This window comes from Homo sapiens, chromosome 7 (genome assembly GCF_000001405.40).
Source record: "Homo sapiens chromosome 7, GRCh38.p14 Primary Assembly".
Classification (NCBI taxonomy): domain Eukaryota; kingdom Metazoa; phylum Chordata; class Mammalia; order Primates; family Hominidae; genus Homo; species Homo sapiens.
In genome coordinates, this window is record NC_000007.14 from 41,464,264 (window position 1) to 41,489,229 (window position 24,966).

The 24,966-nt window shown below is 39.2% G+C and overlaps 1 long non-coding RNA gene across 1 annotated transcript in view, besides 1 other annotated feature; it reads left to right on the plus strand.

Annotated features, from left to right (window-relative positions):
- The first annotated feature begins 1,559 nt into the window (after positions 1 to 1,559).
- The window catches only part of LOC107986787 (uncharacterized), a 30,270-nt gene continuing 6,863 nt past the window's right edge, over positions 1,560 to 24,966 (plus strand). Inside the window, exons 1-2 of the long non-coding RNA XR_001745183.2 lie at positions 1,560 to 1,664; positions 10,337 to 10,593. This is a non-coding gene — a long non-coding RNA (uncharacterized LOC107986787). The remainder of the gene's footprint in view (positions 1,665 to 10,336; positions 10,594 to 24,966) is intronic.
- Positions 3,656 to 4,155: an enhancer, noted in NCBI's record as "H3K4me1 hESC enhancer chr7:41507517-41508016 (GRCh37/hg19 assembly coordinates)". NCBI's record gives its function as "activates a minimal SCP1, AML or CMV promoter by ChIP-STARR-seq in naive H9 embryonic stem cells {active_cell/tissue: H9 hESC(naive)}" and the evidence as "EXISTENCE:reporter gene assay evidence [ECO:0000049][PMID:30033119]".

Below are 24,966 nucleotides of genomic sequence, written 5' to 3' on the forward strand. Positions count from 1 at the left end.
CCTAGGCTTAGTTTCCCAGGGACAAAGGGCATAATTAGAGGGTATTTTGGGTGAACATGGAACCAAATAAAGAAGAGTAATTTGAATGGAACCTTTGAAAGGATCAGGTAAAAATCAATTTCACCACAGGGTTGGATTTGCCAAAAGCTCAGCAATCTTTGAACTCCATTGGTTACAATACCCTGTGTCTATCCCCACATAGAGGGTAGTCTGTAGTCTTGCCAGGGGGCCTGGAATCTTCAAAATCCTTTGGTTACTATTCCATCTCCCCACATATTCCTCCAGTGACAATGACTATGTGTCCTAGTAACTCATTTGTTCTTGGCTGGTCAATCTCTCTCACCATCCCCCTGGATTGACTTGTTTTCTCTTCTTTTTTTTTTTTAAGCTTATATTTTCCCTAGCTTTATTGAGGTATAATTGACAAATAAAAATAGTATACATTCAAGGTGTACAATCTGATGTTTTGATATATGTATATGGTGTGAAATGATTTCCACAATCAAGCTAATTAATGTATCCATCACCTCACGTCGTTACCTTTTGCGTGTGTGTGGTGAAAACACTTAAGATTTATTGTCTTAGAGAATTTTAAGTGTATAATACAGTATTATTAACTATAGTCATCATGCTGTATAACAGATCTCCAGAACTGACTTATCTTATAACTTGTTCGTGTCCTTTGGCCGCCATTTCCCCATTTCCCCTACTTCAACCCCTGACCCCTGGTGACCATCCTCCTCCTATTTCTATGAGTTCAACTTTTTCTAGATCCCACATACAAGTAACTTGTTTTCTCTTTAGTCATGTTAATTTCATGAATCAGGTAAAGAGTTAATGAGGATGAGGATGAGGTAACATCTTTCTCTGTAGGGTATTTATATAATCTCTGAACCATTCAGTGTTCCTTTCTCTGATGGCAGTTTAATTCTAGTTATTTCCAAGTTATTACAAGAAAATCTGCAGATATCTTCAAGTACTAAAAATAAAAACGAATCTTTCTGGAGCCTTTCTACATTTTTTTTTTTCTGCTTTCATTCTCTTCTCATATTCTCTTAACATTCTTCTTATTCTTTTTCCAAATCTCTTGTTACACTAGGTCACAGTTATCTGCAGGACGTTTTATGGGATACAGGTGGAAAAAAAATCTATCCCCCCCATTAAGCCCTTTCTCACCCACATATGTGCAGCAGTAACCCCCAAGGAGATCTGGCATGAAGAAGAGCAAGTCATGTTCCTCAAACCAGTACTTGTCATTTAGAGTTTTGTTTTAGACAAGAATGGTAATTCAGGACTTTGACTCTGGCCTTATACAATCAAGCTTCATGTTTTATCAAGTTAATAAATGACTTAATCATGCAAGAGTGGAGGAGCGCAACAAAGACATCCGTACATGACAGTAAGGGTTCTGCTGATCCCAAAGAGAATGAGGTTCATGTCAGAGGACACGCAAAGTCATCACAAATAAAATTCATGTTTGTGTTTCCAGCTTAATTGCTCAGGGTTAAAAGGAAAATAATAGAAATGAGGCTGTGTTTGCATAAAGCGTGAAACTTTGTCCTGGGAACTTTTGTCCTCCTAATAATTCCCAGCAATGTGGACATTAGAAGGTTACGGACTGTGTGGCATTTTCACAGAAAGAGCAAAGGGAACCAATTTAGAAGGTAAGAAAATTTTGCTATGCCAGTGGATAGTACTGATTTCCTTTTTGTAGTATCAAAAGTGGAGGAGTTGTAACTGCTTGGGGGGTGCTGCTTACATGGCATCAGCATCTTTCCATTTGAAATCAGCCACAATTTGCTCTCCAGGTAATGACAACCAAGCATCCCTTTACTCGACTACCACAGTGCCAGGAAACACTGTGCCACCGAAAATCAGAGTCTTCTGAAAAACTCTATTTCACAGCACCGCACTGTGCCTTTGGTTTTGGAAAACAATATAACAAATCTACTGAAATAACACCCTCTGTCAATGCCACTGTGTCTATGAAATCAGCTAGTCCTTCTGTCCTTATTAAGTGAGCATGAATTTTGGGCTATTCTCCTTCAGGCTAAGGTTAGCAGATGGCTATTCAGACGCATCCTCAACTCAAACCCATGGCTCCTTGTTCTTATTTTCTTCTGTAACAGTTTTGATTACTTTCTCTTTCACCTTACTCCGACCTATTTGGCTTTTTGGGGGGTTCTGCTTCCAACTTGCTTAAAACTGCTTCAAGCATTTTGTGTTTTCTCATTTTCTCTTGTAGATTTCTTGGTAAACGATTCCTAAATCCCCTATCTCCACTTTGCTTCTCTCTTTTAACCCTTTGCCCACTTTCCTCTTCCATCAATAACTGCAACCCCAGATCAACATCTGCTAATCATTGGTGCACAAAAGTGCTTTCATCCTGCTGTTGCCAGAGAATTAATTCTTTCTTCCATTCTTGGTTTTACATGTAATCTACCATCCCCTACCTAAAGTTCTCAAGAAGGTTTCCTAGAAAACAGGTGCAGTAGAGTATCGGGGATCAGTCAGAGGTACGTTTGGATAGCCTTGTTTCTTCATTCAGAACAAAACAAATGCAAACAAACACAAGCAATGAGTTTGGCCAAAATGACCTCATTATTATTGTGAGGGTTACATGTGACATATAGGAACTCGCCCAGTACATGTCTGGCACAGAGCAAGTGCTCAGCAAATATTTGTCCCCTACCCCACTTAATGTCAGTCACTGAACTTTGTAGCATGCCTTTGTCACCTGTCATTTCTTACCACTTTTCCTCCTCCTCCCACTGCATTTCCACTCTCCTTATACCAAGTTGTCTTTTTCTCTTCACAAGAGCTCTGTACCTCACATTTCCTGCTCCTGCCAGCCCTCAAGTATTCACCCATTGTGTGATCAACACATACCTTACATCTTTAAAGTACGTGGTATACAAGTCACTGGTCCTATTCTGTGGTTTGTGGTACATGCAAAAAATAAAACATAATGACCTAAAGAAAGTTGAAACTTCACGGGAGGAAGTAGAAAGGAGCACTAGGCCCATGCTGGATACGAATACTCCCTTTGCTCTCATCTCCTTCCCCAGATCCCACTGCATTTGCTTTACTGGGGAGAGGGGGGATTAGGAGTTTCCCACTGAATAATTTAAACCTCATCCACAGATAGGCTTGAGACAGTTGATGAAGCTAACCTTGTTGAGCTCTTGCTCATACCAGGCCCTCTTCTGATGTTTTAATGGCGTAGTTCATCACGTAATCACCATCAGCCCATAAGGCAGGTGCCCTGAATAGCCTCCCATTAGGTAGGGGAGGAAACCTAGGTGAGTTAGACAAGGGAGTCACAGTCACACGGTGAGACTTGAACTCGGGCAGTCTGCCTTGAACATGTTGGTGGAGGAGGCGTAGAGAGGATGAAAGAAGCTATACTATAATGGGATCCTGGAGGAATCTGGAGAAAAATTCTACCCTGTGGGGAAGGAATGAGGGGTGATTAGCTATCAGCCACATGGCCTGGGATTGGGAGGAGAACAGTTATTTGGTATTTGGGCATTTGGTATTTGCCTCCAGGCTGATCAAGGTTTCCCTCCCCACACTTCCCCACCCTGCAGAGCCCCTGGGCTGAAAGGGGCACATTGAAAGGAGCCATGAATCTGCAGGTGGAAGGGAATTTGGCAGTGGGGGCAGGAGGCATGCTGGGCCCCTGGGTGTCCTGCTTTAAAAGCCAGAGGCTGGGGAGTGTGCAGGATGGGAAAGGGGAGACGCCGGTCAAAGGTTTTAAAATTTCTGTTGTACAGGAGGAATCCATTTTAGTGGTCTATTGCACAGCATGATGCCATAGTTAATAATAACACACATTTCAAAATTGCTAAAGAGTAGATTTTAAGCATTCTCACCACAAAAAAGTAGGTAAGGCGATGGATATGTTAGTTAGCTTGATTTCATCTTTCTACCATGTATACATATATCAAAATATCACATTGTACCCTATAAATATATGCAATTATTATTTGGCAATTAAAATTTAAGAAAATTAAACAATTAAATAAAAGATAAATGGAAAAAAAGTAGTGAATTGTCGAATTACGCTCCTACCAGTGGTGGATTACAAAACCTGCTTCCTCCTACTCTTATACGCACTGGATAGCATCAGGATCTTAATTTCTGTGAAATTAGTGCATGAAAGATATTCTGTTACTATTTGTATTTCCCTGCTGGCAAGAAAGGAAGATCATTTTTCTATATATTTATCAATCATTTAATTTTCTCTTCTCAGAATTACCTGTTTGTGCCCTTTACCCATTTTTCATTGTTTTCTCTGGTTCTTTCTGCCTTTTCCTTATTGATCTGTAAGCATTCTTTATATGATTCTGGATCATAATCCAGAACTGCAATATATGTCACAGCTTGTTATATATGTTGCAAATATTTTCTCTCTGCTGCTCATTTATATTTCAACTTAGTTCAATGTATCCTGTGTGGTACAGAAGTTCCCTACGGAAGCCCTCATTCATATAGGCAAGGATATTTACTGGCAGTATAACTTGTAATCAGGAAAAAGTTGAAGCAACCTAAATCTCCTTCAGCAGTGGAGTGTCAAATTAAATTAGTTACAGCCATTCTGTAGGTTACTCCACAGCAGTTTAAGGGAAGGAAGTGGATCTTTTCCCGTTGATGCAGAGGCATCTTCTAAATGTATTACTGAGTCAAAAAGCAGGTTACAGACTGGTAGCTCAATATTTAACAATTATTTAAAAGACTATACACAAGTAACAATGCCATCTATTTCCTATGAGTGAGTGTGCCTAGAGATAAAGAGAACAGTGACGTGTGTGTACATATATTCCTTTTATATAGGAATAAATACACACATATCCTCTGATGGGACTTTATATAGAAGGTAGGATTCCGGGCCCCGGGTGTGCCAGTTGGAAATCTTCACACTTTTGTGAGGATTAAATGAGATATGTGTGAGGTGCTTAGCACCGTGGTGGGCACAATGGAGAGTGCTACGCAGGCATTTGCTATATGTCAAATATGTGTATGTAAATATACACTCCTTGTTATGTACAGGAGTATAAATATATCTCTGTGAATATCCTGTGAGTATATTTTCTGGAAAAATATATATACACTATTGAAAATGGAAAATTGTGGTTACTTCTCTGGAGATGGGAAAGGTACAACACTCGGAGCAGTAAAAGCTTCTGTCTTATCTACAATATTTAAAAAATCTACCAGGAGATTGTTCATGAACTTTGTATAATTTAAATTCATGTAAAAAGGCCAGGTGTGGTGGCTCACACCTGTAATCTCAGCACTTTGGGAGGCCAAGGCAGACAGATCACCTGAGGTCAGGAGTTCGAGACCAGTCTGGCCAATATGGTGAAACCCCATCTCTACTAAAAATATAAAAATTAGCCGGGAGTGGTGGTGCATGCCTGTAATACCAGCTACTTGGGAGGCTGAGGCAGGATAATCACTTGAACCCGGGAGGTGGAGGTTGCAGTGAGCCGAGATCACGCCACTGCACTCCAGCCTGGGTGACAGAGGGAGACTCCATCTCAAAATAATAATAATAATAATAATAATAATAATAATAATGACAATAAATTAATTAATGTAAAAAGAAAACAAGAAACCATTTCCATATCAGCAGTAGAAAAGTTAAAAAGGGCAACAGAAGGAGCAGCAGTCAGTGGCTGAGTGATGATAGCAACAACATAAGCAGCAGCAATGAGGTGTAGCAAATTTCTGCATAGCACTCCCCATCGAGCCCACCACTGTCTAAGCACCTCACACATATCTCATTTAATCCTCACAAAAGTGTGATGATTTCCAACAGACACACCCGGGGACCCGAATCCTACCTTCTGAGGAAACTCACATCAGAGTTTCCTATCAGGATCATGTCTCCTTAGAGGAATTCTAGGAAATGAAATGTTCTCCATGGCTTAGGACTAGCTGTTGTTTGGAGCTGCCAGGAGACTTCAGGTACTGCAGGGGCCCCCTGGCAGGCCTGGAGACTCTGAAGTCTGCACCCTCCCTGTCTGACTGTAGCTGCCTCCCTCCTCCTTCAGACTCTGACCTGGGCTCTGCTCTTGGCTTCTGCTCTGCCACCTACACTGCCCGCTCCCGTCCCTTGGATGCAAGGATTCAGCCTCGAGTCACACTTTCTCCTGAGCCTCTGTACTAACTCACAAAAAAGGAGATGGCTTCTCACAAGCCTCTGAATTAGGCAGGCTGGCACATTCGAAGCTCACATTCTGTTACCTCCACAGAACCTCTGGGGACAATGACAGTGTCAGTGTGCACAGATGAGGTCAGAATGACGACTGGCCATCTCACCTAACTCTTGCCCATCAGCTGTTGTGATCGAAAATGTAAAAGTAAATAGACCCCTTTTCACTGCCCGAGTCTGGGTGGACCTCACCTGATAGCAGGCAGTGCCCAGGGAGCCCCCACTAACCCTGTATTCCGCAAGGAAGTTGTCTCCGTATTGAGTAAACTAAATTTTTCCAGGGCTTGAGGGGGCCAAAAAAGGGTCTTGGCCCACATATTTGCTGTACAAGGCCAAGAGCTATTTTCTTTGAATGAAAAAATAATTTTTTTCTAATTTTGTTTGTAAATTTCACAACTTATATTTATTTCTCTCCTTTCCCCAAAACCTCTCAGGGTACATGAAAATGCAGTAGCAAACATTCGGAGGGTAAAGAAGAAAGGCAATCACATTTCATGAGCCCTTACTTTGCATCAGACTGTGTGCTGAGCATATAATGTCAGTTACAGCTCTGTGAGCTAAGGAACTCTTGACTCCTGGTTCACAGATGAGGCAGGTAGGGAAAAATGACTTAAATTACTTTCCCACTATTTAATATAATGTCTCACCTGTTACAAACCTTTGCCCATCCCTGTTGCAAATTACTGTCGATGAAATTGCTGAGGGTTCAGGATTCCCTCTATAGACCTCCCTTGGTTCTGAAGAGGAAAGCAGCTGCAGAGGAGTGTAGGGCAACCTTGTTTACAACTACGATTTCCTTGAGCACATTCTCTAGATCATGGCAGGCAGGCAGAACTCATTTTACATGCATTGTTGTATGCTGCGTGCCACATGTTACAGAGGTCGGTGGAAGATGAGGAATATCTCGATGATTGTCTTCAGGAGTTATAGGAAAAACAAAAGTGAGAGTAACAACAACAACAACAACAAAGGACGTCACAGAGAAAGAAAAAGTCTGGGCCAGGCGCGGTGGCTCATGCCTGTACTCCCAGTACTTAGGGAGGCTGAGGCACGCGGATCACCTGAGGTCAGGAGTTTGAGATCAGTCTGGCCAACATGGCAAAACCCTGTCTCTACTAAAAATAGAAAATTAGCCGGGCATGGTGGCTGGTGCCTGTAATCTGAGCTACTCAGGAGGCTGAGGCAGGGAGAATCACTTGAACCCAGGAGGCGGGGGTTGCAGTGAGCCGAGTTCGCTCCGCCGCACTCCAGCCTGGGCGACAGAGTGAGACTCTTGTCTCAAAAAAGAAAGAAAGGAAAAGTCTGGCTTTGCGTCCATGTTGACTAGGATGACAGTGGTGATGGAGGACATATGGAAAAAGTGGTCTATGAAGGAAGGAAAGTTTGGGTCCAGGTCATGATCTCTGCAATGAGCTGTCTTGGTGTCCTTAGGCAAGTTACTTAACCTCTCTGAGCTTTCACTTCCTCATTAGAAAAATGGAGATGATATTAACCCCAAAGCATGGACTGATTAAAATTTTACATGAGATGTATTGTTCTATTTTGCTAGGAAATAGGATCTCAGTAAGCATCTCCCACAGTTGCCTGCCCAGTATTTTATCCTGTGAACTAATAAGAAAGGTGCCTTATAAGTAAAGTGACTGTATAATTTATTGTCAAAACCAAAACACCTTTGTGACCGAAGAAGTCCACTCTTAATAATCACGCCAAAACAACACACAGAAACTGGAATCGTCCCAGGAGAACAAGTCACTCTACTTACAGAGACAGTTAGGGAAATTTCTGGTCCAGGAAAATCAGTGGGCTTTGCTGACAAGGATGTCCAGAAGCTTCTAAGAGTAGATTTGAATGAAACCTGAAGTTCACAGGCTAAGAAAAACAGACAGGCTTCTTTAGACGTAAATGGGCTGACAAAGAGAACAATTTAGTTTGGCCCTGGGAAATAATTGAGTTAGTATTAGGAAGGGAAACTGGAGACAGGAAGAAGGAAAGAAAGACCCGAAGGAACCAGATCTTGAAATGAAACTACGTACCTACAATTTGCCTCTCTACACTTTGGAGTTAATATAATAACCCATGTTCTTACATTCCAAACAGCTGGTTATATTTTAGACTCTTGATGACTCATTTTTAAAAGGGCACCCAAAGCAAAAATATTAAGAAAGCAAGGTTTACAAACCTAGCATGATCAGTTCAAGAAGTCCTAGTCATTCAGCGGAGGGTAGTAGAATCTAATAGGATCTTCCAGGATTTTGTCCTAGAGATTCTTATTGTGCAGCATGAAGACCATGGGCAACAAGGGGCTGGGACTGTCTCTTGAAATTGCAATATAGTTAGTCCTCCACCAATATTGGTTTTCCCTAGCATGCTGCAGTCTAGCAATTTGATATTGTGTGCTCTCTATGGAATGCAGTCCAGTCCCTTTAATCAAAAGGAACCCTCACTACATTCCTCCTTGCAGTGGGCCTGTGGGCAGACAGAGGGTTAGAGAAGGGAGGAGAGAATGAGGTAGGCTCTGCCCTCTGAACATATGCAGGGAAGACTAGACACAGCAAAGCAGATCCCTAAGACAGAATTCACTTTATATGCAAACATTTTTCCAAGACAAGCAGACATGAAACGAAGGAGACTACAAGTCTAAAATGCATTAAATTTCAAGCAATTAGAACCTAGTTAAAAAAAAGAAAACATAAAGTGTAGGCTAAATAATTAAAAATTGTGGAAGAGAGTCTTCCCCAGTTAACTTTGATATCAATCCATTTAAAAACTGCATTAAATAGAAGTTTTAGGAGCCTTTGACTCTCAAAACAAATAAGATGTCCATGTTAAATGCATCTTATTTGAGAGTCAAAGCCTCCTGAAACTTCTATTTAATGCATTTTTAAAATGTGTGTGTTGGTAGCCACGGCAGAAGGATCACTTGAGGCCAGGAGTTCAAGACCAGCCTGGGCAACATAGCTAGATCCCCCTTCTCTACAAAAAGATAATCAAATAGCAGGGCATGGTGACATGCGTCTGTAGTCCCAGCTCTCTGGATGCTGAGGCAGGAGGATCACTTGAGCCCAGGAGGTTGAGGCTGAGGTGAGCCATGATCGCTCCACTGCACTCCAACCTGGGCAACAGAGAGAGACCCTGTCTCAAAAAAAAAAAAAAAAAAAAAAAAAAGAGGCTGAGTGTGGTGGCTCATGCCTGTAATTCCAGCACTTTGGTAGGCCGAGGAGGGTGGATCACCTGAGGTTAGGAGTTCGAGACCAGCCTAGCCAACATGGCGAAACCCCGTCTCTACTGAAAACACAAAAATTAGCCAGGCATGGTGGTGAGCACCTGTAATCCCAGCTACTTGGGAGGCTGAGGTGGGAGAATCACTTGAACCTGGGAGGCAGAGGTTGCAGTGAGCTGAGAAAGAGCTGCTGCACTCCAGCCTGGGTGACAGAGCAAGACTTTGTCTAAAAAAAAAAAAAAAAAAAGTGTGTGGCCGTAAATCCTGGAAACATAGTTTCTTCTACAAAGTGAATATGCCTTTGATACTATTATGCATATTCACCTATGTTCCCAGACTTTGTGGACACTCCGTGGGTGCAATGCCATCTTTATTTGTCTTTGGTAATAAGGAGCTACCCTAAGCATGCCAGTCTTTTTTTCTCCAGACACCACATGTGCTGTGCCCTCCTACATCTGCTCCACCTCCCTTGCCATGAAAGCTTACTCACTTCAGGTGATCTCCTTCCTCGATTGTCTCAATCTGAGAAAGAAGAGGCGTGTGAAGAAGGGTCATCAACTGTTTAAATGACATCCTCTCCACTTCCAGGGGAGAAAACTGACCCACAATATGCTATGTACCACGAAGAATCACAACAATTTTTAGGAAAATATGGGGTTATGTAAGTCAATTATCTTTCACTTGCAATCGATGACTAGACCCACAAGGATAAGACAGAAGGTCAGCTTCTAAGATGGACCCCAATAAGCCCCACCTCCGGTGTAATCCATGCTATAGGCCCCCACCCCCTGTCTCCACACATGATACCAGGGCTGGTCTGTGGGACTAGTGGAATACAGCCGAAGTGACAGCATGCGACGTTGTGTCTTCTGCCTTGCCCTCTCTTTCTCTCTCAGATCACTTGCTCTGGAAAAAGTCAGCGGCCAAATCATGAAAATAGTCATGCAACTCTACAGAGCGGTCCATGTGGTGGGAAACTGAGGCCTCCTGCCCACAGCCACATGAGCAAGCCATCTGGAAAGTGGCTTCTCCAGCCCCTGTCACCTTCAGGTGCCTGCAGCTCAGGCTGACATCCTGGCTGCAGCCTCAGGAGAGACACTGAACCAGAAGCACCAAGCTAAACTGCGCCTGGGTTCATATACTCAAATGACATGTGAGTAATAAATGCATATTATTGTTTTAGTTACTAAGTTTTGTTGTAACTTATTATGCAGCAGTGGCTAAAGAAATACCACATCCCAGATGTGAGCAAGAAGCCTTTCACACATCATACCCAAGAAATCTATGGGATCTATTCTGGGAAGGGGCTTAGGAGCTGAAAAACTTTGGGAATAGCTGACCAAAATGCATAGACAGCTGCTTAATTCCACTAGAACCATCTTATTATATCCCAGTGGTAGAAGCACAGCCTTAGATACTATTTCAGGGTGAGAAAATTAAAAAGGAGAAAACAATTTATAAATGTAACTGCCACAGGCCAGATAGAATCATGGTCAACTATAAAGACTTCGACTCCCTGGGCTCAAATCTCAGTGCTTACTTATCATGAGATCATGAGTAAGGTCTTAAACTTCTGTTGCCTTGTCTGTAAATTGGGTATGAACACTTAGGGCTGATGTTTTTACTTTTATTTCACAGATGAGAAATCTGTGCCATTGAGGGGTAAAGCAACTCCCCCGGGGTCACTCAGCTTATTCAAGGCAGCCCTGCTCTAGAACATGTGGGTTTATATCTATTGTACTCCTCTGTCCTTCAGTAATAACATGATGTTGTGGTAAGCATTAGAGAGGCTAATGCATGTAAAAACTTTAACATAATAATCATAAAACCAATGTCAGCGCTTTATCTATTTACTTAACCTCATTGTTAATTCCCAGCCTCCTGGCTCCGATAGCCCTGTGGTTCTCAGGGAGCTCCTACGATCGGGGGATCGGGTGACAACTCTAGGTTTATCCAGAAAAGATAAGGGTTCAATGAACTTGGGGCATGAGTAGAGACAGACCTCTACCTTCCTCACCGAGCTTCCTTTCCACCTGAAGAGCTCAAGTTCTCTGTCTTTGGAAGTGGCCCCTAGGCATCGCTATTTAAAAATCCTTTCTACCAACACATTATCCCTGCATCCCCTCACCCCTAAAATATCAGTTTACCCAGAAGGAAGGCAACCAGCATTGGCTCCCAAAGAAGAAAGTCCAAAGATAAAATGAGGAATTTGATTTTATGAAAATCAGAACTAGAAAGCAGAAGACAGGGTCATCTAAGCTAGACCCCAAAACAGGAAATAGTCATGTATTGGACAAGTACAGTCTGGCTTTGCTTAAATGACTCAAGATATGCATCCATCTGCTGATAACTGACCGAGCAAAAAATGTTTCTACATAACTGCAGAAACCTTTTCAATATTTTGACCCCCAACATTTGTTTTTCACTGATTTGCTTCCTTTTTTAACTTTGTGGTGAAAAGTTTTAGATTTGACATATTGAAAACTAGATGTGCATTCTAAATGCTCACTATGCTGCTTTATGCTCACAAGCTGCATTATGCTGCTTGTTATAGATAAAGTCACAAAGTAACTTCTGTGTCAATGGGTTAGTTCCTGGACTAACAGGAGGGGGAGACATGGAGGACAATATCTGGATCAACAAAAAGACTGGCATTAGCCAAGGTTGCAGCCAGCCGTTCCCTTCTTGGATTTCATTATTTGGGGACTTCTCATCTAGCTCTGTCACTCATTAAATTGTGTATTTAGAATTATGAAAACAAAACGGGGAGCCAAAGGTGCTACTGATGGCTTAGAGGGATTACATAATGATGGCAGCAATTTCCATTCAGAGGTTTTAGAATTACCACACAGTGTGATCTCAGAAATGAGAGACAATTGCAAAAGGGAGATGGTTTAACTGCTGTTTTTTCCACTACAGGTTCTCAGTAGAAGACCCCAATTTTCACCCTAGGGAGGAAGATGGTTTCAGAATTATTAGTCTTCTACTTGCTGTAGAAACTGTTTACTTCTCTTTTCCTTCTTTTGTGTCTCAAAGCTCACAACTCCACAGAGACCCAGGAAAGAATGCTTAAAACAAGAGTAAATATTATTACACATGTGGACCTTTGAGATATTTTTAAAAAGCAGTAACACCCTGCTCCGCTGCTACTATACTCACAGACTCTCCTAAACTGTTTAATGTAATTCCAATATTGGATTAGTTCAAAATGTCTCCATCTGGGGTGCTAAAAGGGCATTGGGTGACTATTGTGAAAGTCAAAAACTCCTAATCTGAAAATTCTAAAATATACTGATTTATTTATTTTTGATGGACTGTACAACTGTGAAGAAGCTAAAACTTTCTTAAACAGGTTCAAGACTTTTCCACAATTCTGGCTGGTTAAGTGTTTGGGCCCAGGTGAGGCCCATTCATTGGTCAGTGAAAAATCTCAGTGATGACCTCTAGCCCCTACCTGATGACTACACAAGAGAAGATTGCTAAGATCTAACAATGTTATTGGGCCGCCTTGATAACTAGCTGATAGGCAGTTCAATAGCAACTTAAATAAGAAGAAAGCATTAAAGGAGTAAAGAAAACTCAGCGAAAAAAGCAAAGTGTGTAGGATAAAATTTTACAACATCATCTCCTGCTAGCATGCATTAATGACAGTGGTAGACTTCTCACACTTCATAACAAATCACAGCCCAGTGTACTGTTTATTGAACTTGAAAGGGGTTCAATAAACAACAACTCTTCAATAAATGGACTCTGAGCTATAGTTACCTTAAAAGATGATGTACAATGTGCAGTTTGCAGGTAGCAATGCTTCTAGTGAACATGTGTAGAGGAGACCAGCTCTGGAGTGTTGGGTGCATGTCAGAGTCCCACATGTTAAGAAGGATATTGATGAACACTTAGCCCCATGGCAAGTAGCAAGCATAATGAGGAGGTTGGAGAAAATGGAGGAAACGAGAAATGTTTGCACTGGAGAGAAGATGTAAAGACTCCAAAAACATGGGGAGCAACCATAGAGAAGAAAGTGTAACTGAGTCTGAGAGGCTCTGAGTGACACAGCCAGGGGCAGTGTGTTTGCACTGCAGGCACTGTGCTTTCAGCCCCACCCCAGGATGATTTTTTAAACAGCTAGAACCGTGGAATGTCAGAGTATGCTGCCTCTTTAAGGAGTGAGAGAGAACAGCAGTCAATGGATGACCGCTAGCCAAAGATGCTATCCAAGTTATTTTTTGATTGGATGAAAGAGTGAATGAGATCAAAGCTTTCCTAACTGTGCTAGATGGAACCCCTTCTCTCAGGGCCACTTAAAACTGTGTGGCAGGAGAAATGAGCCCCAAAACTCCCAAATGCTTCCACAGAGCAATGACTCCTTTATCTGTTGTTGGCACTGGGCCTCTAACTTCAAGTAAGGCATACTTGAACAAGGATCCTGTAGCTAAATAAAGCATTTTGAAGAAAATCGATGGCTTCTAAACTGAGCCCTTCAACAGAGCACAGAAAACCAGGAAGAGGGGCCCAGGGCCGACTGCTTCAGCAGAGCAGCTTTGATGCTTCCTGATTCACACATAGGGCCTCTGAGTAAATTTCATTTGTATAAACGTTTACACAGTTAAAAAGATTTCAACCACTAGCTTAGATCACATCCAAAATCAAGTTCAATTCTTAGATTTCTGTAATTTTATGTTGCATGACTGACTCTAATCTTATCATTTCTTAACTTCCCCTATGAATCATTTTTTCTTTTCATTTTCTATTTCTGAAATCAAAGCAAATGCTTCGGGATAAACTGCCCATTTCAAGAAATTGCAGAACTGAGTTCTAGGCCCACATGCTGAAATTAGTTATAGGACTCAGAATCAATTTAGGAAGATGCTAGGACAGTAATCGTAGTGAAATAATACTATTCATCTGTGTAGTGTTTTTTTTTTCTTTTTTCTTTACAAAGGATCTTAATTTCCATTACTGTATCTGATTCTGAAAACAATCCTGTGAAGAAGGCAGGACAGATAAAATTATTTCATTATTCAAATGAGTAAACTGAGACATAGAAACATATATGTCACATAATCAAGAGTTAAGTAGTGTTTTGTTTCCAAAACTCAGTTTTGGAAGTTTTGGTGTAATGAATTTTCTATAACCATGTAACCTTAAGTGGTCAATCTTGCAGTAATAGCTGAGAACTCTAGAAATCTTTTTAATATACTTATCTTTGGAAGAGAAGCTAGAGCTCAAGTTTTTTGCTGAGAAAATATTATCTTCAGAGAACATTCTCTTTTTTGAAGGTCAGATCTTTTTTTACCTTTTCAGAATCTGGATTTTCACAGGAATGCACCACAGTTTTTAAGAGATTTGATCTTCTGGTGGACTTTTGTTATCAGAATTTCAGCTTTTGGCCTTGAAGTCAAGTTCTGTTTTTAATTCCTAACAATATTCCATTAACCACAACAGTGGCACTGAAACAAAACAAAGCAAAACTTTTCAGAGCTTTTAAAAGGCCAGAAACATTGTGTTAAGTGAGACTGCCATAGACTGCTTGGGAATTTTTTAAATCTACCATTCTAAATGGACAAGAGATAAACAAGAGGGTCCTTATTTGTAAGCCTAGTACACTGTCCAGAGCTCACCTCTGGGGAAACTTGAGCCAAATAACCAATGACCAGCATTTACTTTCCACTTGTCATCAAGGAGTAAGGCTTTCTGAGTGGTCAACGGTCTGTGCCAATTCATTCTGAGAGAAAGATATTACAGGAGAAGCTAACTTTACATTAATCTACTTTCCTGTCTTGGCTGTGACATTTTCTTCATCTTATCAGAGTAGTTAAAAGGAAACGTTGTGGGGTGAGGGGAGTGGGGAGGGATAGCATTAGGAAATATACCTAATGTAAATGACAAATGACGAGTTAATGGGTGCAGCACACCAACATGGCACATATATACATATGTAACAAACCTGCACGTTGTGCACATGTACCCTAGAACTTAAAGTATAATAATAATAATAATAATAAAAGGAAATGTACAAAGATCAAATAGATGTCTGCAAAATTTAGTGGCATGAGAGGAGATATTTGACCCCTTCCTTTCCAATTTCAAAAGAGGGAATTTACCAAATAACTTTTACAATGAAGGAAAAGCAAAATCATCATCATCATCATTATAAAACTTGTCCTAGTGTTATAAATTAGGAAAGATTGCCTTGCAAATGATGGAAAAGTCCAAGAATTTCCACTAGATGTTTTACAGATGAAATCAAGTTTTAAAAGGACACCCAGGGCTCCTACAAAATTTCTCCCCAGAAAGCCAAGAAAACAATGTGACTTCATAAGAAAACAACAGAGGAGATAATAAACGCCAGGAACATTCCCTAGTCTAAAGGCCTAAGGCGGGTGTTGGTATCAGAGAGTAACACGTATATTCAGAAATGTATATGTACAGCTAGCAGTAATCATAGTAGTTGTAGTACTGGTAGTTGAAAATTTTATTTGTATGCATTGGTCTATATTTACTGTTTTGCGGATAGCCCTGGACTTCTTTAAGTACCCAAATTCAGATCTTTTTTAGGACAAAATAGTGTGCTTTTATGCCTCTCTGTATTATTTCTGTTCTACTTCATATGGTTTGTTCTTCAATGGATCTCTGTTGCCTTTACTTTTAAGCGGTCAACATTTTTTTTCTGATTATTTTCCTTTGCTCAACATTCTGTTTCTCAACCTGGCTCTCCACATCACTAATCACATTTTTCAATGCCACAGACACTCTAAATGGATTCCAGATTCACCTTTTCAGACTTCAAGGCTCCCAGAACAGTTACTTCCCAAATCAAGCTGGCTCTGTTTCAAGGAATATTCCTCACTATGCCAAGGAAAGTTACTGGCTTCTCTCCTGCCTCCTGCCCTCCCAAAGTAATTCTGCCAAAGTCCTTCTGTTGCATGCAGTGGGTGGACACCTGGATGCTGGCATTGCCATCGGATTCTGACCTTTAAAAATGTGTGTGCGCTTGTGTGTATGTGTGTTTACATATATTTGCTAGCTCTGTCCAATGAGAATGCTGGAAAGCAGCAATACCTCAATAGTAATGAGCACACCTGGCACCCAGATTTTGGTTTCTAAATACCATTCTCCACTAAAAGGGTTTCTTGGAGAAGTGGCTGATTCAGGACTGGAGCAGGAAAAATACAAGGTAAATATTGAGCATTTTACTGTGCAAGAAATTATGGTGATACAGCAAAACGATGCAGGTGCCATTTTAAAGGAACTCCCACTGCCTAATTGAGGGGGCAATTTGAGCATTAAAATAAATAACAGTGTTAATAGATTATAATCCATGGAATGATATGGAAAATGATTAGTTGACAGAAATATTTAAAAAGTTTTATGAAGAATATGATCTATACAGAATTTCAAAGTATTTCTCTACAAAATACTTCTTAAATACAAATGGAAAAAGTGCAACTTTACTGTGGAGAAGGCTGAATAATAACACCTCAGTCAAATGAGTAAAGATAATCAGTAATAAGGAAAATAGAAATTGTGAACCACCTGATAGAGTGCAATGAGTTGTCCATAATATTTCTGCTCTCCCACTATAGCTAAACATGGACCTCATGGGAGACAGTAAGGGGGAAAAAATATTAAAACCAGAGCCTAAAATAAGGTGACAGACAACCAAGCTAATCAGCTATGAGAATAAATGCAAGTAGGTTAAACTTCCCTATCAAAAGATACACACACACACACACACACACACACACACACACAGAGAGAGAGAGAGAGAGAGAGAGACAACATATACTCTATGCTATGCTCAAAAGTGACCCATAAGCAAAAAATCTCAGAAAAATGAAAAGCAAGACTTAAGAAATCTCAAAACCTGGAAAGTATAAACTAAATAAAGCAGAGGTTGCACAATAGTGTTACTGTATAAAGCAGATTTTACTTGGAAAAAATAACAATGAAAGCAAAAACATTAGATGTATCATTTCCCATAAATCATGCACCTACTCATTCCTAGAGTCTTTCTTGAGGGAACCATAGCAGGAATAAATGGTAAAAGCACTATTACTAAACATTATTATTGAATAGAGTTATTTCTTGTAAAATTTGGGACTCAAGTACTGGATTCATCACAGTGCAAAAGTGTAACTTCTTCTCTGTGCTGAGAGAAAGACATGGGGAAGAAAGAGACAAATGAACAAAGACAGAGAGAATCTCTCAACCAATTGACCCACCTAAACATAAGAAACCAGGAAGTGAAAGAGAGGCCAAGATTTGCTTGGCATTTTTAATGCAGTTATCACATAGACATCCAATAGCTCTGACTATTTGCCCCCACCCCACCAACACAGATATTATTTTCTCTATATAATAAAAATAGACAAATAGAGGTTTTGTTCTCTGTCTTGTCAGATTATCAACTGGAGATGAAAGGAGGAAAAGATGGGGATGACAGAGATGAGTTCACAAGTCCTGGAATAATAATAATAGAGATAGGAAAATTTCTCTTTCTTTAGTTTAGCCTTGTTTTGTTGCCCCTAATGCTGATCATTAAACATTTTCATCCAAAGTCCACATAGGGGACCAATATTTTAGAGGTTGTTTTTGGGTCTCTCTCTGGTTGTCTTGCAAACGTAAGAGAATTTTTTCTATGTTCTGGGAAATAACAATTTAAAGACCATTTTTTCTAGTATCAAAAAATAAATTGAGGCATGATAAGAAAGAAAGCATTTGCTCACAATGCCTGAGGTTGAACAGGCCTAGAACACACGGTGTGTGGCTAGGACAGTGACTTAGGCCAGCACACCACAGGGAAGAAAACAAAGAAGAAAGGAGAGAGACAATCGTCTTCCCACAGTGAAGGATGGCCATTGTAATTATCATTCTTATTAATGTGCTTCAAAAGATATTTAATACAATTCAGTATCCATTTTTTATTTAAAGGAGGGCACAAAACAAACACAAAAAATAAAACTTAATGAGAAGAATATTTTCCAAACATGACGAATAATACTTATCTCAAACCTGCCTAGGAGTCAATCTTATATGAAATGGTCAAAAGTAAATACCCCACTAAAATTAGGAATATCAAAAGTATCCCCTTTATGAACACTTCTGTTTTCTTATTTTCTAAGAGCTTAAGTGAAGTTGATGAGACAGAAAAAAATAGGAATTAGGTAAAGGAATAGGATAGAGATAAAAATATTTGCATAAAAATATTTTACTAATATACAACCATATATTAGTCTAAAATCCTATAAGAATGAATGAGAATTTATTATAGCCTTGCATTACAAATAAACAAGTGAAAACTAATAGCTTTCTTATATACCAGCAACAATAATGTATTTATATGTGTGAATGTGTTTTTGTGTGTCTGTGTATAACTTTGTCTATAAGACCCTCTTGGCAACTGTAAAAAAAAAAAGTATAAAGTATCTAGGGATTTATGAAGAAATGTGCCTGAACATGGCATATTTACAGAAATTTAATGAGAGACATAAAAATATATTTGAAGAACTAGAAATTTATACCACACTCCTTGAAGGGAAGGCTTAGTATTGTAAAGATGTCAATTCTTCCCAAGTTACTTAATAAATTTAACAAAATTGAAGTGAAAGTCCCAAAGAGATGCTTGGGGGCAGGGTGGGTCTTGACAAAAAGATTTGAAGTTGAACTGGAAAAATAAATATGCTAAAGTAGCCAAGATCTCTCTAAAAAGAATCAGAAATGAATGTTGTTAGAATAGGATACAATTTCCTCTGTGAAATATAATAAAACATATTGTAACACTGTAAATATTATAATCCTATAACCTTGGTTGTAGAAGCCGTAAGTGGGAGACAATTAAAAATCTAGAGACCAAACTGTCTCTCTCTCTGGAGACACACACACACACACACGTATACACATATATATACCATATATTTGTCATACATATAAATGTCAAAAATCTTTCTCCAGAATATCTAGGGTTTGGTCTTTTCCTCACTTAATAATATTCCTGAAGTTTATCTACCTTAACAAAGACTACAACGTTTAGGAAAAGATTTACCCTTAGTGCTAAAAAATGAAATATTTAGGTATACATCTGACAAAATATGCATAATATCTATACAAGGAAAACTAAAAAATTCTGATAAAAGAAATCAAAGAACTAAGTAAATGCAAAGATATTCCATGTTCATGGATAGAAAGACTCAATGTTATCACGATGTTGTTTCTTTCCAACTTGATCTATAGATTCAACGCAATCTCAATCAAAATCCCAGCAAGTTATTTTGTGGGCATTGACATGAAGTTATATCGAGAGGCAAAAGACCCAGAATAGCCAATGCAATATTGAAGGAGAAAAATAATGTCAGGAACTGACACTACCCAACTTCAAGACTTAATATAAAGCTACAGCAATGAAGCCAGTGGGCTATTTGTAAAAGAATAAACAAACCTTTCAATGGAACAGAGAACAGAGTAGAGCGCCTAGAAATAGACCTATGTACATATAGTCAATTGATCTTTGACAAGAGAGTAAAGTCAATACAATAGAGCAAAAATTGACTTTTCAACAAATAGTGCTGGGACAACTGCACAATCACATGGAAAAAAAGACTCTAGACAAGGACTTACATCCTTCCTAAAATTAACTCAAAATAGATAATGGACCTAAATGTAATAATGCAAAACCATAATCTCCTAGAAGGTAAATTAGGAGAAAACTAAGATAACTTTGAGTATGGGTGATACTTTTTAGATATGACATCGATGGCATGATCCATGAAAGAAATAATTGATAAGCTGGACTTTATTAAAATTAGGGACTTCTGCTCTGCAAAAGACACTCAAAAGAATGTGAAGACAAGCCACAGACTGGGAGAAAATATTTGCAAAGACGTATCTGATAAATAACTCTTATCCAAAGTATACAAAGGACTCTTAAAACTTAACAATACAAGAGGCTGAGTCAGGAGGATCGCTTGAGGCCAGGCATTTGAGACCAGTCTGGGCAATATAGTGAGACATTGTCTCTAAAAAAAATAAAAAATATTAGCCTGGTTTGCTGACGTCTGCCTGTAGTCCTATCTACTCAGGAGGCTGAAGAGGGAAGATAGCTTGAGGCCAGGAGTTAAAGGCTGCGGTGGGCTGTGATCACACCATTGCACTCCAGCCTGGGTGACAGAGAGAAACAGTGAGACTCCACTTATTTTTTTTTAAGAATGGACAGGAAGTAGAAGTAAGAAAATAAATCTAAGGAAAATTAATTTTTAAATAAATTATACAAAGTTGAAAGATCAAGCAGCTATCACTTGTTTTTCCTCAAAATAGCGTATGTCACTTTTTTCTTTGGTCTATTTTCAGAAGTACTTCTGAGTAAATAAAAAAAGTATATAAATTATTATTCTCTTGCCATTTTTAATATACTTTATTATTAAAGCAGTTCTACGTTCACAGCAAAATTGAATGGAAAGTACAGAGAGTTCTCATATACCTTCTTCCCCCACATACCCACAGTGTCCTCCACTGTCAATATACCCCACCAGAGTGGTACATCTGGTACAATGAACCTACACTGACACATCATTATCACCCAAATCCATAGCTTACATTAGTGTTCACTCTTGATGTTGTGCATTCTATGGCTTTGAGCAAGTCTGAACACAGTTTAGCTGGATCCTCTGTCAAAGTCTTAGAAAGTTTCAATCGAGGTTTTTTTGGGCTTTGTTCTCATCTAGAGGCTCAACTGGGGAATAATTCTCTTCCAAGCACACTCAAGTTGTTGGCAGAATTCATTTTCTTGCAGCTTTATGATTGAGGGTAGCTTGTTGCTGTTTATCTACTGGAGGCTGCCCCAGCAACTAGAGGTGCCTGAAGTTCACTGATACATGAGTTTCTCCAGCATGGCTTCTCCTTTCACCAGGCCAGCAAGAGTCTCAGATAAGTCTGGTGTCATGCCAGAGTCTTAAATAACGTAAAATAATGTAGTCATGGGAATAACAGCATGTCATCTTTGCCATATGCTATTGTTTAGAAATAAGTCACATGTTCCACCACACTTAAGGGAACAGGATTGCAAAAAGGCATGAACCACAGGAGGTGGGGTTCATGGGGCTACTTTCATTGAGTCTGTCCACAACACCTACTGAGCTTCAGGAGTTATTAATGTATACCCAGGGCCTAACAAAATGCCAAACATATTGACAAGTATTTGCCAAATTCATCAATTTAAAATGTATCCTCAATGTACTATTCACTAAGACAGAGATAACAAATGATTTTTTAAAGTTAAATATAAAAAAGCGTTAAAGAACTGACAAGTGTATAACAAAATATTTATATAATTTTCAGTTTGGAAAGTCTATTAAACATGAACACAAAATTGGATACAGAATGAAAAGACTGGTGGATAGATTTAAATAATATTAAATGTCTCTATATATCAAAAACAATACTGTAAGCTATGTGACAAAGTATTAATATCTTAAAATATAAAAGATGTCTACCAATCAATTAGAAGGAAACACACCAATTGAAAGATAAACATAAGCCATGTACAAGTAAATCACAAAAGAAGATATATAAGGACCTAATAAACAGTATTCACATTTAAATCCACTAGTGTCAAGAAGCAGCATATTAAATCAAGGAGATATGCTTTTTTGCCTTTATGATGAACAAAAACTGAAAACATCCAAACACTTTTACCCAGAAATTCCATCTCTAGGAACTTATCATAAGGCAAAAATCACAACTAGCCATAAAACATGTTCATCTCAGTTTGTTAACTAAATATTGGGAACCACCTAACAGCTGGTAGCTGGTTAAATAATTTAGAATAGATCTATGAAATTTCATGCTATTATCAGTGATGTGGTAAGAAATATGTTTAATGACTTGGACATATGCTTGCAATGTATTAACTGAAAAACTCAGAGCACTCAGGAGTATTTCTAATACATATAGTTTGTCAATAGACAAAGACACCATAATGTTTAAAGTTGTTATTTCTTGATGGCATGATTCCTGGTGACATTTCCCCTGCACCCAATATTTTGCATTCTCTGTGTTTTAAAGGTTTTCTCTTGACATGTATTACTTATCATAAACTTTACACATTTAAAACAAACCCTGCATATAATAATACAAAAATTATAAATTAATGTAATATAAATATAAAAAATAATGTAAATATAATAAAATAAACTGTGTTTCTAATTTCCAAGTTGATCCATAAATCAATATTCCTTTGCTTACTTCTGGATTTAGTTATGTGGCTGGTCAACACCAGATTGGTAAATCTTCAAAGTAGGTTATGCCAAGATTAATTATTTGTCACAAGTGATAAAAGCAGGCTAATTATAAAAGCTACTTAATTAAAATTAGACTTAGCATTTATGTATTTAACTGTTCAAATCTATTTGAGGCTTGTGTCTCCTGTGATGAGATTCAAATGTAAGTTTCCTACATAGTCAATTTACTGATTAACCAATTAGAAGTTTTTAAAATCCATTATCTATAGCAAATAAGAGGGGTGATTGGAAATGCTAATTAATGTATGACTTATCTTAAGAAATAATTATTCTATATTTCAATGTATGTTTCTGGCAATATCATGAAGAACTTCTGAAGAGCAAGTCTAAAGTTACGCCACTTTTAAACAGTCTTGGGGCTGTGCCGTTGCCCAAGTTCTGTTGCATTGTCAGACAATAACAACTACGCTGTCTGAGAACATTTTGAACTTGTTCATTTAACCTTTGGAGAGCTTTCTGTGCTGCAGACACCATTGATAGGGTTTTCTTTTGTAAGTCTCAGTTTAGTTAATCTTCAAACCACAAGGAAGGAGGAATTTTTAGTAATAATGCAATATAAATGGCATTACTTATGTTCTCTATTTCAATACGGTAGGAACTAGGCGTGGGTCAGGCCAGCCTCGTCCTTGGATCCCTCAAATATCTTGAACTGCTGCTCAAATGTGTTGGGTTTGGCACAACCTGCAAGACCCTGGGCCAGGCACTGTTTCCTCTTTGATTTTTAAGCCCCTGTGTATTTCAAGGGAAACTTAATCCATATGTTTCTGATTCATTTACACTTAACTCATCAAAATGTTGTCTTGAAGGAGCTATTTGATATCCAACAAATCTTTGGAGCCCTTTTCTCGAGGACTTTGAAAATCTTTATTTTGATCCCCATAGAAAAGAAAAAGTTACTCTTTTAGTGTGTGTGAGCACATGTGTGTGTTTCAGTGAGCAAATTCAGTCACCCTAAGGCATGAGTTCAATCTAAAACTAACAAATAAGATGTCAGCCCAGATTTTTAACTTGCTCTAATGTCCTATGTACTAATTAGAGCCTCGTGGGGGGAGGGGGTGGAGGATTCTCACTCTGATCTAAACTAGTCCCAAGCCCATGAAAATGTTCACCATCTGTTAGCAATATAGGACCTAGATGTGGCTGACAGTCATTGCCCTGATTCTTTGGTTCCAATCCACACTGAACTATTTAGAATTATTTTGTTGTTACCATGTTTTTTTTAACCTCTGACGTTTTGGGTTAAAATTTTATGCCCTAACCTTAGAGAAGAATGAAGATATATAACTGCCAGAGCCTGATAGTTGTCTTGCCAATATCCTGGGTTAAGACTGCTTAACTAGCTTAATTTATACCCTTAGAATCGACCAGATTGTTGGTTTTAAATTCTCTTTCACTAAACTCTTTCACTGTTCATGGAAATGGTTCATTTTTCCTTTCTCCAAAAATATACAGTATGACAAGCTGAGATGGTATTTTCTGCCATTCAAATCAGTGAAAGGGAAGCTGATGTCAGAAAGGAGAAAGCACTTATGTTACTATCTCCTAAGCGACAAGCACTTTATGTATTTATTCATTCACTATTCAACAAGATTTTATTAAGGACCCATTAAACCCCAGCGAGGTAGGCCCTGTGATAGGTGGGAATAGCGAGATGAGCTGGATGAAAGGCCTCAGCGTGCCCTGAGCCGGTGAAATGGATGGAGTTCCTGACAGCTATGGTGTGAGGGAAAAACTAGAGGGCGGTGCCCCCATGTAAGAAGAGCTAACAGTTGGCCGGGCGCAGTGGCTCAAGCCTGTAATCCCAGCACTTTGGGAGGCTGAGGCGGGCGGATCACGAGGTCAGGAGATGGAGACCACCCTGGCTAACACGGTGAAACCCCGTCTGTACTAAAAATACAAAAAAAAAAAAAAAAAAAAAAAAAATTAGCTGGGAGTGGTGGCGGGCGCCTGTAGTCCCATCTCCTCGGGAGCCTGAGGCAGGAGAATGGCGTAACCTGGGAGGTGGAGCTTGCAGTGAGCCGAGATCGTGCCACTGCTCTCCAGCCCGGGCGACAGAGCAAGACTCCGTCTCAGAAAAAAAAAAAAAAAAAAAAAAGAGAGAGAGAGAAGAGCTAACAGTTATTGAATAGGAGCTGTGGACTAAGTTACTGGATACTGTACTAAGTACTTTTATAAGTATCGTCTCATTGGATTCTTACAAACACTCTATTTTTCCAATTTTAAAGATTAGA